This window comes from Homo sapiens, chromosome 2 (assembly GCF_000001405.40).
Source record: "Homo sapiens chromosome 2, GRCh38.p14 Primary Assembly".
Lineage (NCBI taxonomy): Eukaryota > Metazoa > Chordata > Mammalia > Primates > Hominidae > Homo > Homo sapiens.
Window position 1 is genome coordinate 205,684,286 of NC_000002.12, and position 13,161 is coordinate 205,697,446.

At 46.9% G+C, this 13,161-nt stretch overlaps 1 protein-coding gene across 16 annotated transcripts in view, besides 2 other annotated features; it reads left to right on the forward strand.

The window, feature by feature from the left end:
* NRP2 (neuropilin 2) overlaps window positions 1-13,161 on the forward strand; it is a 115,631-nt gene that overhangs the window by 1,785 nt on the left and 100,685 nt on the right. The gene's annotated exons all lie outside the window — the stretch shown is intronic.
* Window positions 211-841: an enhancer, noted in NCBI's record as "H3K4me1 hESC enhancer chr2:206549220-206549850 (GRCh37/hg19 assembly coordinates)". NCBI's record gives its function as "activates a minimal SCP1, AML or CMV promoter by ChIP-STARR-seq in naive H9 embryonic stem cells {active_cell/tissue: H9 hESC(naive)}" and the evidence as "EXISTENCE:reporter gene assay evidence [ECO:0000049][PMID:30033119]".
* Window positions 11,179-12,013: an enhancer, noted in NCBI's record as "H3K27ac-H3K4me1 hESC enhancer chr2:206560188-206561022 (GRCh37/hg19 assembly coordinates)". NCBI's record gives its function as "activates a minimal SCP1, AML or CMV promoter by ChIP-STARR-seq in naive H9 embryonic stem cells {active_cell/tissue: H9 hESC(naive)}" and the evidence as "EXISTENCE:reporter gene assay evidence [ECO:0000049][PMID:30033119]".

A 13,161-nucleotide genomic window follows, 5' to 3' on the forward strand; every position in this document is an offset into this window, starting at 1 on the left:
AGAGTGAGCCTCCCTACCCCTCTGAGAACAGTGTCTGGAATCTAACAACAAAACTCTTAGCAGCTGCTACAGGTGATTGGAGATGGAGAAACCATCTATGGAGGAAATGGGTGAAAGAAAGGCGAAAAAGCCTTCCTGAAGTGCCCTCACCCAAGGCACTTGCAAGGCGATGGCGGCAGTGGTAGAGCTAACTCTGCAGCCTCCTTGGCATCCCCAGAACATCAGCTAGTGGATCCTAGCCTTGCATCTGGTACTGTCACCCTTCCTTCTCCTCACGCCCCCCACCAGCACACACACCACTTTAAGCTTGGGCATTTATTTGAGGGGGGAAGAAAATTCAGGAATGCCTTTGCCACCCAGATCCGCACGTTTGCAGCTCTTTCTTTGCCATAAGTGGTCTTCAGGGCAGCTGCAAATCCTGCCAAAGGGATGGGTGGGGGTCCCACTTGGGGAGATTTTCTGGGCCTCCGCCGTTCCCCCTTGCCTTATTTCTAAATTCCCAGCTTGAAGCGGAATTAAATTACCACTCACAGACCTGGATGCTGCGTAAATTATGTATGTTTGTGTGATTCGCTGTGTGTGTGTGCACACGCGCGCGCGCCGTGAGGATGCCCACAGTATATTATGTATTCAGACACGGACTCCAGTAGGCCCCAGCGCGCGAGCGCGCACACACTGGCACTCACACTGGCGCGCACACACATGCAACTTCAGGTTCCGTGTGCTGTGCGGAGCGGGAGGGGTCGTGAAGACTCAGGGGCCATCTCCTACCCCAGATGTTCGCACATCTGTCCCCGAGCGCTGCTTGGAGTGTGTGTACGTGTGTGCGCGACACCCGCTTGGACCCACTCCCGCTCTGCCACCTGCCTGCCGCGCTCTCTGCAGAACCCCCTCCCATCCCAATCCCCAGCAGTGCTGCGTCACTTCCAGAGAAGCCCAGAGGCGCGGAGTTCGGGGCAACCTCGGACCCGGGGTGGGATCTCAGGGTGGGATTCGAAGCTGGGACCTGCCAGGGACCTCCAGCTCCCCAAAATGCGATCTCAAGCCGTGAGCTGCTCAGGCTTTCAGGCGGAGCAAAGCACTGGCACCCTGGGAGCCGGCAGCGGGTGGCCAGGGCGAGGCCAAGCCACATACCTCTGACTCACCCGGTGTGCGCCGGCCGGGAAGGGGGCCTGGTTCAGCCGCCGCCGCCGGCGACGAGAACCAATTCTGGGAAGGAGCAAGATGGGGCAGAAGGTGCGCGCGGGGGAGCAACTGAGCAAATAACACGGCGGTCGCGGCGCGCGGCACCTTGGGCTGGCGCGTGGCTGGGAGGCCGCATGGGCGACGCGCACCAGGCTGCCCCTCTCCTCACTGCGCCGCCTCGCCAGACCGCAGTGCAGCCGCTAGCCTGCCTCCCTCCCTGCCCCGGGCGCCCCCGCCAGTCCCCTGCGCTCCGCTCTGCGCGGCAGGCTCGCCGCGACCCCTAGAGAGACGGCTTTGAGTGGCGGGAGGCCGAGGCCGGCTGGCTTGGGAATCCAAGCGCTGGCCCAACTAGGTGAGAGGAAACTGGGGTGGGATTTCGGAGAGGAGGGCGGAGAGAGGCGGGAAGGAACCAGCTTGAGCCCCAGGAATGCGCGCAACTTGCACAGCCTCTAGAAGCGCCGCGCGCCCAGCGCCCGCCGGTGCGCAGGAACAGGTGAAGAGCACGCGGCGTGCGGCCATCCACGTGGTGGGGACGTGATAGCCCCTCAGCTCTCCTCCTAGCCCTCCCTCCCCTTCCCCGCCCCCCAGCGCCTTCTCTAACGCCGCATCGATTTGTTTGGGCTACGCAGCAGAAACAGAGCCCAGCGATCCATAAACATTCTATTAAGCAAAAATATTCCCAGCGAAAGCAAAACCGAGGCTGAAGCCTCCGCGAAGTTGGCCGCCTCCAACTACTCCATGCTTGTGCCCTCCTCCTCCTCCTCCTCCTAAGGACACCCCCAGGGAAAAGCCTGCGGCATTTCTTCAACGCTGCCCTATGCCGGAAAGTTAGGTCTCGGCTGCAGCGCTGGTCTCTGGAGAAGCCTCTGCCTGCAGCCGCCGGCGAGTTCCCGCCTCCCCTCCCCAGCCGCCTCGCTCTTTGCTTTTCCACGTGAGAAAAAGAAATGTTCACGGCCGATGCTTCATTTTCACTGATTGATTTCTTTTTAATATCAACACAAGTTAATGGAGGCAAGGCGCGCTCTGATTGAAGGGCTGCCCCCGCCCTTCGACTCGGGCTGGCTGTGCCGGGGGTCTTTCCCACCGGGTCGCAGGCGTCCAGCGGCTGGGTGGCGGGCGCCGGTAGCCCTAGTGTTTGGAGGTGGGGGAGGGATTTGGAATAGACTTGTCGCCCCTCTGGGAATCATCTGGGTTGGGGAACCTTCGGGAATCAGCTTTCCAGACCAAGTTTTAGGGGATCTTGCCCATATGCGTTGCGGCTTCTGCGGCTCCGGCTGAATTTCTTCTAAAAGATAGGAGATCCACGCTCAGGTTTATTGGCGTGTGCTCCCTGCTCGGCTCCCCTCCCTCCACTTCCTGTTCTTTCGGTTTCAGACAGAGAGGAGAGCCCCCTGGCGCTAGCCATTCCCGATCAGCGCCCACTACGAACGTCCCCTTTGCTAGAGTTAATCATGATCTGCGGGGGGACTGGGTTTTGCTCAGAAAATCATTCAAGTCCTGACAATGGGTTTCTTCAAATGGTGGCAACTCCCAGGCCTAATGTCCCCACCTCCGGGACACATCGCTTGGGGCCAAAAGAACCCAGACCCCATAACCATCTACCCCTCCCCTCCTCGTCTGGAGAGCTTTGATCTATGCTTGGGTTTTAACGCCATTGCCATGGACACGCGCAGATTCTCGGTCAATTCACCCTTCCGTCTGGACTGGATGATCAGATAAGAGGTGTAAATTGGCTGTGGGAGACAGGTCTGGGTTCAGACAAATCCTGAAAGAGAAGCAATGACGGTCTAGGCGCCGGATAAGGGTTTGAAGTGTTTCTTTTAGCCTGTCTCCCCAAAATGTGAGATGGCCATTGGCGAGCATAATAATTTGCAAGTAAACTGTAAACTCCTAGATTTTACGCAGACGGCCTGCTCTGGGCTCTAGGGATTGGTCTCATGCCCACATTAAATGGGTACCCAGTAAACATTTTTCCCCCGTGATCAGCTCCTGGAGGTAGGGAAGCTGTGGCCAGTTGCCAGCAGAGCACACAGTGCAAGACAGTGGCAAGAGGAGCACTCCCCAAAGGGCCCCGGGCAGGCCCCTACTCGTCCAAGCGGTGCCTGGTGGAATTGTGAATGCGCCAGTGCACATCAGGTTTGGAGTTTTATGTCATCCCATAGAGCCCTCAGACATTAAGCTACGGAGCACTCAACTGGCAAAATGAAAGATTGGAAGGCTGCAGTGACTGGAACCCAGGCTACCCAGACAGGACTCCTGCTGTCTACCAAATGGCTCTGATCCCCTGCTGTTGAATGTATCAAGTCCACGTTCTGCAGCAGAAAGGCCAGTTCCTATCTTCCAGGCATAGAAAAAGCTAGGAATCCAAATGCCAATTCATATGCAGTGAGGCACGAATACAAATGACAGTGAGGGAGGGGTCTGGGGTCAGTGAGGAGAGACACCAGGGACCAGATGATTCTGGGGACCCTGGTGTTTTTCATTTCACTCAAGTCTTCCCTAAAGCAATCAGGAAAATGAACTGACTCAGGATGACCTGAGTGTAAGACAATTCTGAGTTGACAGAATTCAAGAGCCAGGTAAAGAGGTTTCCAAATATATTCTCCAAAGGTCCAGTTTGGAAAGACTTTAGGAACTTGAGCTGAGATCTTCCTTTCTTAAAAGATAGAGCAAAAGAAGAATATCTTTTTAATTTCTTGAACTGACAAGAAAGGACTTGAAAAGTGTCATCTGGGCAATGGCTTGTAGTGTTATTAACATATTTGAGGTATTTTATTATCTGACCATCACTTGCAACTGGATAATCTTTGAGATACCTTCCTTGAGTGGCAGATAAGTATATTGATCACCAGAAGTTAGTCTTTGTACTGTTCCTTCCAGGTAAGGACTTGGCTGTTTGCTGATTTTTGTTTTTTAATTAACCCATTTCTGGAAGATGCTGCAGAAGTTTGTCCTGGAGAGCTACAGTATTTTTCAAAGCTTTATCTGCCTTGATGAGAAATGGTCAGAGGCTTAATGGTTTCATTGCCTAACAGGATTCAGTGGAGTAGGATTCCAGGACACAGTGGCCTTGTATCATGGCTGGCCCTCCAGGAGAAAGCATCTTCTAAAGGTTTAGGAAGCTGTCAAGTTTAGATAAGGCTGAGCTCCGATCCTCTGGGACCTTGGTTGTATTAATAAGGAGAAATTAATTTTTAACCACTGGGAACATTGCCAAATTATGTGACCTTTGGCAGACCAGCTGTGCTATAAAAATAAATCCCCCATTTCTGAAAATGCTACTCCTATCCAGTAGAACAATAACAATGTGGCATTTAGGATAGAGAAGAGTAGGATTGAGAAGAAAGGAGAGAAATAGGAGTTGGCAAAAAACAAAAAAACAAAACAAAACAAAAAAAACAAAAAAACCCTTCGATGTTGTGATACATGGTTTCAGACCTGAACTTCCTATCCATCACCCGCCCTCCCCGGCCCCATGCCTAGGGTTTCCAGAACACAGGAAAGAGGGCCAGGATGACAAGGAGCTGAGTGCCTGTGTGTACAGGGAGTGGAGAAGGTGTTAAGTGCTTCCAGCCCACTCACACCCCAGCCTCAAACACATCTCTCATTGTTCACACAGACAGAGTACTGGCACAGGCAGAGAAAAGGGGGTTTTCAAACAGGCAAAATATTTGTCTTTCCCTAAATGCTACCAAGTAGGTTTGCCACTGAGAAGTTTTGTGGGGATCATCCCTGGCCTTCCCAGCTTCTGAAACATGGGAACTAGACTGCCTGGGTTTAGAATCTAGCTCAGCCACTTGCTGGCTCTGTGATCCCAGTATCCTGTGTGATCAGATACTTAGTCTATGTGCCTCGGTTTCCTTGTCTGTAAATGTGTTTGGTAACAATACCTACTTCATAGGGTTGTTGGGCTATGTCAGATTATGTAGAATACTGTTTGGCACATATGAAGCCCATTCTGAAGTCACTGAATCTTTAAAACTGTTTCAGTGGGGTTAGTGGAATCTCGTGATCGTAGAAAGCACACTATAACCATTGTGGTAAGTTGATTTTTATGAGATTTAAAAAATAATTCTTATTCTCAGTTCTTCCACCACCAAACCTCTGTGTTTTGTAAGCACCATATTATCTCTCGCCATGCTCTTCTTCAGAGAATATTCTCTGCTGAGTTCTTATCTTAGATTTATGTCTCCCTTGCATTTTTTCCCTCCTTCTTCCTCTGTTTTCAGTATTCTTACCTCCTATTTTCTTTTTAATCTCTCATTTCCTTTCCTTTTCCTCCCCTTCCATCCTTCAACACTGAGAGTGTGCTCAGCAGGGAACACCGTGTTTAAGGCGCTCTCCCGAATGTGTAATAACTTCTACTCTGGCACTAAGGCCCTTCAGCAGCTGAACTCAAAAAAGTCATCATAAAGACAAAATAGCTTTTACCCAGCAAGGGTCTTAATAATCCCATTTCCCTCTGGGTCTTCATAAAGGAGTCATTATCTAATCCAGAAAAAAAGGAGGGGCTGGGAATAACAAAAGAGAAGCTCTCGGTAGCACAGAGTGCACGAGGCTGCCGGCCAGCTGAGTGCACGTGGCCGTGGTACCCTGCTCCCGCCTCCACAAATCCTGCGATAACCAGTAACCAGTTCTGGCGAGTCTTTCAGCAGAGAAGATAATGGGAATTGCAAATTACTAGACCGAATGCTAATAATAATTGTTTGGATACAGGAGAAAAAATAAAACAGATGTTCCCCAAAGGCATTCTAGGGGCTACAGAAAGGAAAATGAGGAGGGGGTTGAGTAAAGAGAGGTTTGCTGAAACCAAGCACAAGAAAATCCAATACCAACAAATGGCTTAGTGATGAAGTAATAGTCAGCATCTTCCTGGTGGTACAGATAACCAATATTTAAAGTTGCCTTTGGAAGTGTGGGGGTTGGAGTGAAGGGGACAAAACCCCTGAGATAAATTAATTTTACTAGTATTAAAAATAAAATGGCCGAGCATGGTGGCTCATGCCTGTAATCCCAGCACTTTGGGAGGAGGAGGTGGGCAGATCACCTGAGGTCAGGAGTTCGAGACCAGCCTGGCCAACATAGCAAGACCCCATCCCTGCTAAAAATACACACACACACACACACACACACACACACACACACACACACACACACACAATAGCTGGGTATGGTGGTGGGCGCCTATAATCCCAGCTACTTGGGAGGCTAAGGCAGGAAAATCGCTTAAACTTGGGAGGCGGAGGTTGCAGTGGGCCGAGATTGTGCCACTGCACTCTAGCCTGGGTGACAGAGTGAGACTCTGTCTCAAAAAATAAAATAAAATAAAATAAAATGTGAATGTGCTTTGAAATTTATCATTATTATCTGCTTTAGGGTGTTCTAGGAGACATAGTTCGCACTAACTCTACCTTGACCTACTTGTGACTAGGTATTATTATCCCAGACAAGTTATTCAAACTCTCAATTCACCACTAAGAAACATTTGCACTTAATAACAGCTGGGGGTGGGGAGGGAAGCGCAGTAGCTGTGGCCGCAGAATAATTTCTGATAGAACTCTCAGAGTCTGTCCTATCTAGTGATACCTTTGATGTTCCTTTGGTCACTTCTTAATTGGTTAATTCACCAAATCTTGATGAGTCTGACTTTTGGGAAAGGTTCTGGTTTGATCCTGTAAGACTTGCCAAAGATGGATCAGCAAGGAGTCATGACCTCAAGTTGCTGGTGGCTCAGTAGACTGGATGAGGCCCTCCAGAACTCTCACACATCTCAGAAGATGCTAAAGAGCTTCAGCCTCTCAGATGCACAGAGGAGAAAGACCACTCCCAGTATGGGAGAGGAGAAAGGGCAGAGGCAGCCTGGAGTGAGAGAGTAGGTGGGATTTAGAGCAGGGAAGGGCATACCAGGGGAAGGGGAAGGTGTGAGTAGAGAAATGGATGCTGGGTTGGTTTGGGGAACACTCAGAAGCTGCAGTTTAGAATGTATGGTGGGAAATAATTGCAAACAAGATTATAAATAATAGCTTGGGCTCAATTCAAGGCCCAAATTGCTAGGCAAAGAGGTTTGGGTTTCACTTGCTAACCAATGGGGAGCCATTAATGTTTCAACATAAGCTTCAGTTAATCAAAATAAATGAAGACAATATTATATTACTTTTTTTTCTCCTTTGGTTTTTGGAGAGACCTCAAAATTATTCTTCTGTTTCCTTCCCCAAATGTCTCCTAAAATGGTCAGGAATTGTAATCCCAGATCTCTCATCAATGGCATCAAAATTGCATTTGCAATGAGGGCTGGAAAAGAGAGGACATAAATATAAACTAATGACATTATATCGGCTGCCCTATTGGAATTGCATTTGTTTATGATATAAGATGACAAATAATAAGGTTAACACAGGTGGCATGATTCGAGGTCAGGAGAGGTAATCGCATCAAACTTACATTTTACCGATTAAATGAGGCTTCATTTTTAGAATCTAGATTGAGGGGAGAGATGTTCAAAAGGCCCCATTTCCAGACCCAATTTCCAGTTCTCTCCTAAGTGAATTCATTGGAGGTGTTTTAAGAGAGGGAATTTGCTTCATTCTTTATTCATTTCCAAACTCATATGCTGGCTTCCTCTCCTGCTCTCTGCTTCCCTCTCTCCTTCCCTCCTAGATGGCCCTTTTATTCAGATTTTGAACTTTATCATTTCAAAAGTTCAGAAGGATTTCCATTTGCTGTGCCTTCAGGAGTGCATCATTCACTGCCACCAGTCTCCATAAATTGAGTAGATTGCATCCCTTCCCAGTTGCCTTAGGAAGTGGTCAAACAGCCACATTCCTGGGCTGATGGATTGGCTCATTTCTTCCCAGCTTAAGCCAAGATACAGATTTTATGAGACTGTCTTGTGACAGGCTGAAGTTGCTTTGAATAAAACAAAATCCAGCCTCAGCTCACAGAAATAATTCTTAAAACGCAGCTTATCCCGGGTTGGTGAGCAAAATTTGGTTAAAACCCTGAGCCAACGACTTAGATGATCTGGGTGAGGGATTTGAAGAAACTCCTTTTGGTTTTTCTTTTCATGCATCACTGTTGTTGACATGCTCACACACAGAACTGTGTATCCATAATATTTATAAATATGCAGCCACAGACTCAGTTACAAAAAGAAACTCGTGTTAGTAGACCTGATGTGATTAAAGGAGACATTTGAACTCTCCGTAATGCAAGACAGACATGTTTTCTGAAGAATCCTGGAGTTTGGTTTCAGGCTTACCAAGCAGATAGAACAGGGGTAGCACCTTGAGTAAATGTCTTATTGTCTAGGAGGGTAGAGAATCTTTTGAATTCTTGGCTCAATCTGTGGGTTATAAGATCTATTCCCCACCTCACTACATGGGCTTTGGATTTTAGCACTGGAACTGACCTTTAGAATCACCCCTCTCATTCTATAGATGAGAAAACAAAGGCTCAGAGTTGTCTACTAGCTTACCCAAGGTCACACAGCTTGCTAGTGGTGAGACTAGACTTGATTACTAGGCTTTTAAATCCTGCTCCAATGCTATTTCTAATAAACTTCCTGGTGGAGTAAGTGGCAAGGTGACAACCTCCTTTCTTTTTAAGTAGAAGAAAGAGTTTCTTCTTTGCCTTGCTACCAATAATTAAATGAAAACAATGCTGTGGAAATAGGGACAAAGTGGGATTATGCTGTAGATAAGAAATAAATTATAAAGTAGATAAAGTATATTATTTTCAGAGGAAATGAGACCGATTGCTTTTCTCCACTAAGTGCCCTCAGGTATACATAGGAAATAGATGTCTCCTAGTCATCTGCTCTTTCTCTTTTCCATAGCATTTTAAAGTAACAGGGAATGGAGATGCCCCATTTAGAGGGTTTCAAACCATGTTCCAGGAAGCCCCAGTGGACTTGCAGAGAAGCCCTTCTGAGCTGAGGGCAGGAACTAGGAGGCCTGGACACTACAATGCTTCTGGCTACCTCCCTCCCAGCATCCAAGAAGAGCTCCCTTTTATGTTCTTTGTACATGGGAGGTCTAGGTAGAGTTTTGTTCAAGAAAAAAAAAAAGTACTTCAAAAAAAGCAAATAAATTTGAAAGCTACACACCTAATTCAGTCCATTCTTTGAATTACAGTTTGTGAAGCTGAGCCCCAGAAAGGTCAAATTGAGTGAGTTAAGAGTTGGGTGCCATCTCCCATCTTTCTGCTAATGTCGATCCCTCCCTTTCCTGGTAACCCAGTCCCATCACCCCAGACTCACCTTTTACAACAACTGGGCCCTCTAATCCCACATTCAGCCAATGGCCAAGTTTCCCTGGTTTCGCCAAGGACTTTTTCCTTCAGTTCAACTAAAGCGAGGGATCTGATTGGTCTTTTACCAAGCTGTCGTGAAGTAAGCTATAGTAATCAGATTATCTGCTACAGTCAGGCTTCAGTATTTAGCAAATATTATTGTCAAGTTCAGGTTATCCAGTGTTCCTTTAAAACAATGCCAACTACATTTTTCTAGAAGGCAGACCAGATTTTTAAAAGATCTTCTTTTCCCATTCTTAATACTTCTTAAAAATTAAATATTCGCAAGGAAAGTGATTGGGTTCTGTAGGAAGGTGAGTTCCTAAGTGAAGGGGTACAACATCCCTTTGCCTTTTCAGGGCTATGTTACCCCTAGGCAGAGGCAGATGGTACTTAGACTACCAGCAAAACAACAATACTTAAGAAGGAGAAAAAGAGCAAGACAGAAAGAGTTTAAAACAATCTGATATTTTACATTTCAAATAAAAACACCTAAGTAGTACTTATAAGAGGAAAATCAGAACTTGGTGACTTCAGAACTTAGTGTTCTCTTTATTTCCAATTACATCTGGAGCTGTCACTTTATTCCTTTCAGCCTTGGGCCTTTCTCAGACCTGACCTGGCTCATCCCTCAGCCTTCCCTCCCAGGTATAGGAGAAAATGCTCTAACAGTCCAAGCCTGGATTTTGCTATCTCTCTTCGGGTGATGAATTTGCCCCAGGTGAAAGGTATTCACAAAATAGTTGCAGAATGAAGTCTTTTGTCAACTCACCCAGCGGGCTCAGTAGCTCAAACAGGGTCAATTTCCCCTCTGTACATGGAGATTGGCCTTAAGGGTTTTGCCCTTGAGTTCAACTCTCCTTTGGCTTAGCTTGACTCCTCTGAAACAGAACAGCAACCATGTATAAAGTTCATTGTGGAACACAATAAAGACCTACAAAGTAATGGATGGTATAGCTCTTCAGAAGAAATTTTAGCTAATTTCTATTGGGACATGTTTGTATTTAGGAAATGATGTGTCCCCAACCCTAGAAAGGAAAGATCAGTTATCAAGAGGAGAAGTAGAATGATTAAGTGTGTTTTCTTTACAATTTTTACTGATATGTTTCAAGAATTCTGTTCTCTCCAAGAAAAATAAAAACAGAAATTCTAGTATTTATCTTTGTGGATATATGTTTGTGCAAATGATGTGTGATATTTTATGAGAAGGTGTGAACGTATGTATAGGACTAAAGTGTGAATTACTGATATGTATATGTACTTGAAGTATGTTCAATATCTATGTTTGTGTGTGTTTCTGGGTGTGAATGCAAGCCAAACAAGAATGTGAATTTATAAATTTGTAAGTATTGAAAAGGTTACCAACACACAACTGAAGCAGATGTTCTAATGAGTTCTCTGATACTTCAATAACTGCCCTGATTTTCTCCAGGTAAAGAAAGGATAGAAAAAAAGCAATGGATGACTCCTTTTTCTTTTGGTTTAACAGCAGACAGTACAGACTATCAGCTATGGGATATATATATAGTTTAATTTTTTTGTGTGGTGGTGGTGAAGAAATGATCACTTCTGCTGTAGATGAGAAATTAAACCTTCCTGCGAAGAAGTTTCCTGTCTTTATTGCTGATCTGTGTGCCTGGTCTAATTACTAAAAGTTTAAACCTGGGGTGTGGGGAATTGAGGGAGAAAAGTTCCCCTTTCAAGAGTAATTGGAGAGAAGTAGAGGAAGGGATGGGGAAAGGAGGGAGAGAGTGTGGGTAGGGAGAGTGGAGAGTATGTGGAAACCATAACAGTTACTAAACAGGAGCTCAGCTCAGGTTTCCTCTGACGAATTCCAAGGCAAAAAAGTGTGGTTTGGGGTGAGTTGGTGGCAGGGCTGCAGTTTTCTGCAAAATATCTGGCAGAGGAGCTGGACCCGGTAGAAAATTCCCCCTTCTGCTAGTTGAGTAAGAGCAGCTGGTGATCTATGTCCTCACACCTCTGCCTTCTCAGAGGACCACTCCACCCTATTTCATGTGCATAAGCCAGGACCAACGGGCCTCAATTTGGCTGGCTAGATGACATTAGGTTCCCAGCATGGGTGAGTGGTGTGGGCACCTGGAAAGCCTATGGGTATTGGCTGCAGAGGAGCTGGGCCTCATGGCTGGCCTCATGTGGTCTGGGTGGGAGGGATGAGCTCATTGTCTTCATGGGCTGGGGTGGGTGCAGGGTCATTAGGTAAGAAGATGATGTGCTGTGTACCAGCCTGAGGAAACGGCTGCTTTTGTTTTCCACCCAGTAGGAAATGGACCTGAATTCATTCCATTCTGGGCAGTTCAATACGGCACAGTTTGAGCTCGTGGAGGCTTGATGCCGAAAAGGCTACTTGTGTGGATTTGTGTCCCAACCACCCGTGTGCAGCGTGCCCATCTTTTATGCATTTAAAGCCTGTCAGGCCGGTAGTCTAAAGCAGAGGTCTGGGAGATAGTAATGCCAACAGACATGGGGAATAGTAAAGTGCACCTGTAGAGTTAAAAAATGCATGACCTGTTCCCTCAAAGAGTGAACACAGGAGAAAGACCCATCCTGGAGGGCGGCTGCTGAGTCGTAATACATAATTCACGGGCCCATGCTGCTCCATGCAGATGGCGATATTAAATCGTGATTGATGCTAAGAGACACACACATCTCAGGAAGGTCTCCGAGAGGCTTCTGAATATTTCCATGTCTCATGTGCCTTCCCAGCTTCTGTTCTACTGTGGTATTTAAGCAAAACTCCCTATTTCCCAAGAATCCCTGCTGGGGATTGCAGAACTTTACTCCCGAATAGATGAGATTCCTCAAATGTCATCACCCACCTTTGGAGCCTTTGAAGGTGGCTCCCTTCCCTCCCAGGCCACATGAAGCTGTCTGCCTCCAGCCAGGCACTGCAGGTACAGGGAGCCAGCCCTTCCTGCAAACGGCCAGTTATGGCTGGACAAAGCAGCAGCACACTCTGGTGGTGGTGACCAGGCAGGAGGGACAGTGGGCAGACAGCGCAGAAGAAACAGATGTTCATTCAACACAAAGCACCTTTGTCGAAATTCCAAGGCTAGAGCCAGTAGATTCTCTAATACAGATTTTTCCATTCGGTGTATAATGAAATAATAAATCAAATTTGTGGTATATATGGAATTAAATGTTTGGGGGGTTTGCATTTTTTTTCTTAAAAAAAAATTTAAAAAGGCTGCAATCACCCTCCAGGGCCTGTTCTGGCCCAAAGCTGAAAGTGCTTCCTCTGCACCACATGTAATTGTTACCAGGCTCGCTTGTGGGTCGGCACCACAAAACCACCATTGTCAGTTCCCAGAGCCCTGACTGCTGGCTGCCTGGGCTGGGCTGGGAGACACCGAATAAAATGAAGGATTTATGAGATAAAGATAGAGATAGGAGGTTGAATGAGGAGAGGAAGATGGGCCAAGGAGGGGAGGCAGGAAAGGCAGGGAGGCATGTTGAGTTTGCAGTCCTCTTGTTTTTTTAATCACAGACCATGTAATTGAGAATATTTATGGCCATGTTCTGGAATACTTTCATCTGTGTGTGTGTGTGTGTGTGTGTGTGTGTGTGTAGTTGGGTGGGTAGGGGGAGGGATGAGCCGGAATAATCTCTTCCACCGAATGAGTAAGTAGGTTAGTCTTCTGGACTGCCATAAAAGGTCTGTAAAATAGT